Source organism: Homo sapiens, chromosome 22 (genome assembly GCF_000001405.40).
Source record: "Homo sapiens chromosome 22, GRCh38.p14 Primary Assembly".
NCBI lineage: Eukaryota > Metazoa > Chordata > Mammalia > Primates > Hominidae > Homo > Homo sapiens.
Window position 1 is genome coordinate 43904587 of NC_000022.11, and position 1546 is coordinate 43906132.

Below are 1546 nucleotides of genomic sequence, written 5' to 3' on the forward strand. Positions count from 1 at the left end.
CCCAGACGCTGGCATCACCGCTAGACCAAGGAGCCCTCTGGTGGCCCTGTCCGGGCATAACAGAAGGCTCGCACTCTTGTCTTCTGGTCACACCTCACTATGTCCCCTCAGCTCCTATCTCTGTATGGCCTGGTTTTTCCTAGGCTATGATTATAGAGAGAGGATTATTATAACATTGGAATAAAAAGTAATTGCTACAAACTAATGATTAATGATATTCATATATAATCATATCTAAGATCTATATCTGGTATAACTATTCTTGTTTTATATTTTATTATACTGGAACAGTTCGTGTCCTCTGTCTCTTGCCTTGGCGCCTGGGTGGCTTGCCACCCACAGTAGTGAGCCGAGATCACACCATTGCACTACAGAGTGAGACTCCATCTCAAAAAAAAAAAAAAAGTATTTCTGGTCTCTTCCCATCCAGCCCTGAGGGAAGCCGTGGGGCAGAGAGTTGCTTCTGGCTCATGCCGGCCGCCTCCTACCAGTGCGTCCTGTCTCGGCACTGGCCACCTGGTCAGAGGTGAGCGGCTCTGCCCAGGGGCTTGTCAGTCACCAGGGGAGGGGACTGTGGCATTGAGGACAATGGGTTGTGCTGCTAAGCCAGAGAGGCTGGCAGAGGGCACAAGGCTGGCAGGGGCACAAGGCTGGCAGAGGGCACAAGCCTGGCAGGGCCAGACACCAGGGGGTCTGAGGCCAGGGCCAGGAGGGATGCTTCCCTCCCGCACTCATCCATCAGCCTCCTTGGCCTGCCCCAGGGGGTGTGTGCAGGTGCATGCAACGTCACCTCCTCCGAGAAGCCCGCCCTGACTCCCTTTCCTCCCTCCCACCTGAGGTGGCCATTCCCTTAGTGAGGAGATAATCTGACAACCTGGGTTCAAACGCTGGTTCCACCTCTTAGCTAGCTGTGGGTCCTGGGTACGATGCTCTGGGCCTGAGTTTCCTCATCCATAGAAGAGGGGTAATAGTACCACGGATCTCACGGAGTTACTATGATGAGCATGACACAAAATCCAGGTGCACCTCCTGCCCTCAGTGCCTACGACGTAGCGTGCTGTCACAGTACACGCCGTTATAATTCGTTATTAAAGCCACAATTGTCCTGTGCTACTCTGCTAGAGCTCTTCCTATTTTTGATTATAAATTTATGTGTTTTGGCCACCAACCCAGAAACTTCCAGAAAGCAGGGACCATGAATCCCTCTGGAAAACAGTGTTAATTATAATCTTAGCAGTCACAGTGATTGTAACGCTAGCAGTTACTGTTTCTTGAACATCTACCCCATGCCAGGCGCTGTCCAGCATGTTCTGTGGAGACATTAATGGAATCGTCACAGCGACCCTTCCAGGGAGGAGGTCTCATCCCCACTTCTCAGCCCTGCCCGAGGTCACAGAGCTGTCTGTGGTGTTAAGCTTGCTTCATCTGACCCTGTGGCCAATCCCCACATCCGCCACACCATCTGTCTTCCACGAGGCTGCAGAGACTCAGTAAGTGTTGGATGGAATAATTGTTTATTTTTTGGTGGGGGCTGGGGGTGGGAGCC

General features: G+C 51.9%; 1 annotated feature.

Moving 5' to 3' along the window:
* Positions 577 to 1077: an enhancer, noted in NCBI's record as "H3K4me1 hESC enhancer chr22:44301043-44301543 (GRCh37/hg19 assembly coordinates)". NCBI's record gives its function as "activates a minimal SCP1, AML or CMV promoter by ChIP-STARR-seq in primed H9 embryonic stem cells {active_cell/tissue: H9 hESC(primed)}" and the evidence as "EXISTENCE:reporter gene assay evidence [ECO:0000049][PMID:30033119]".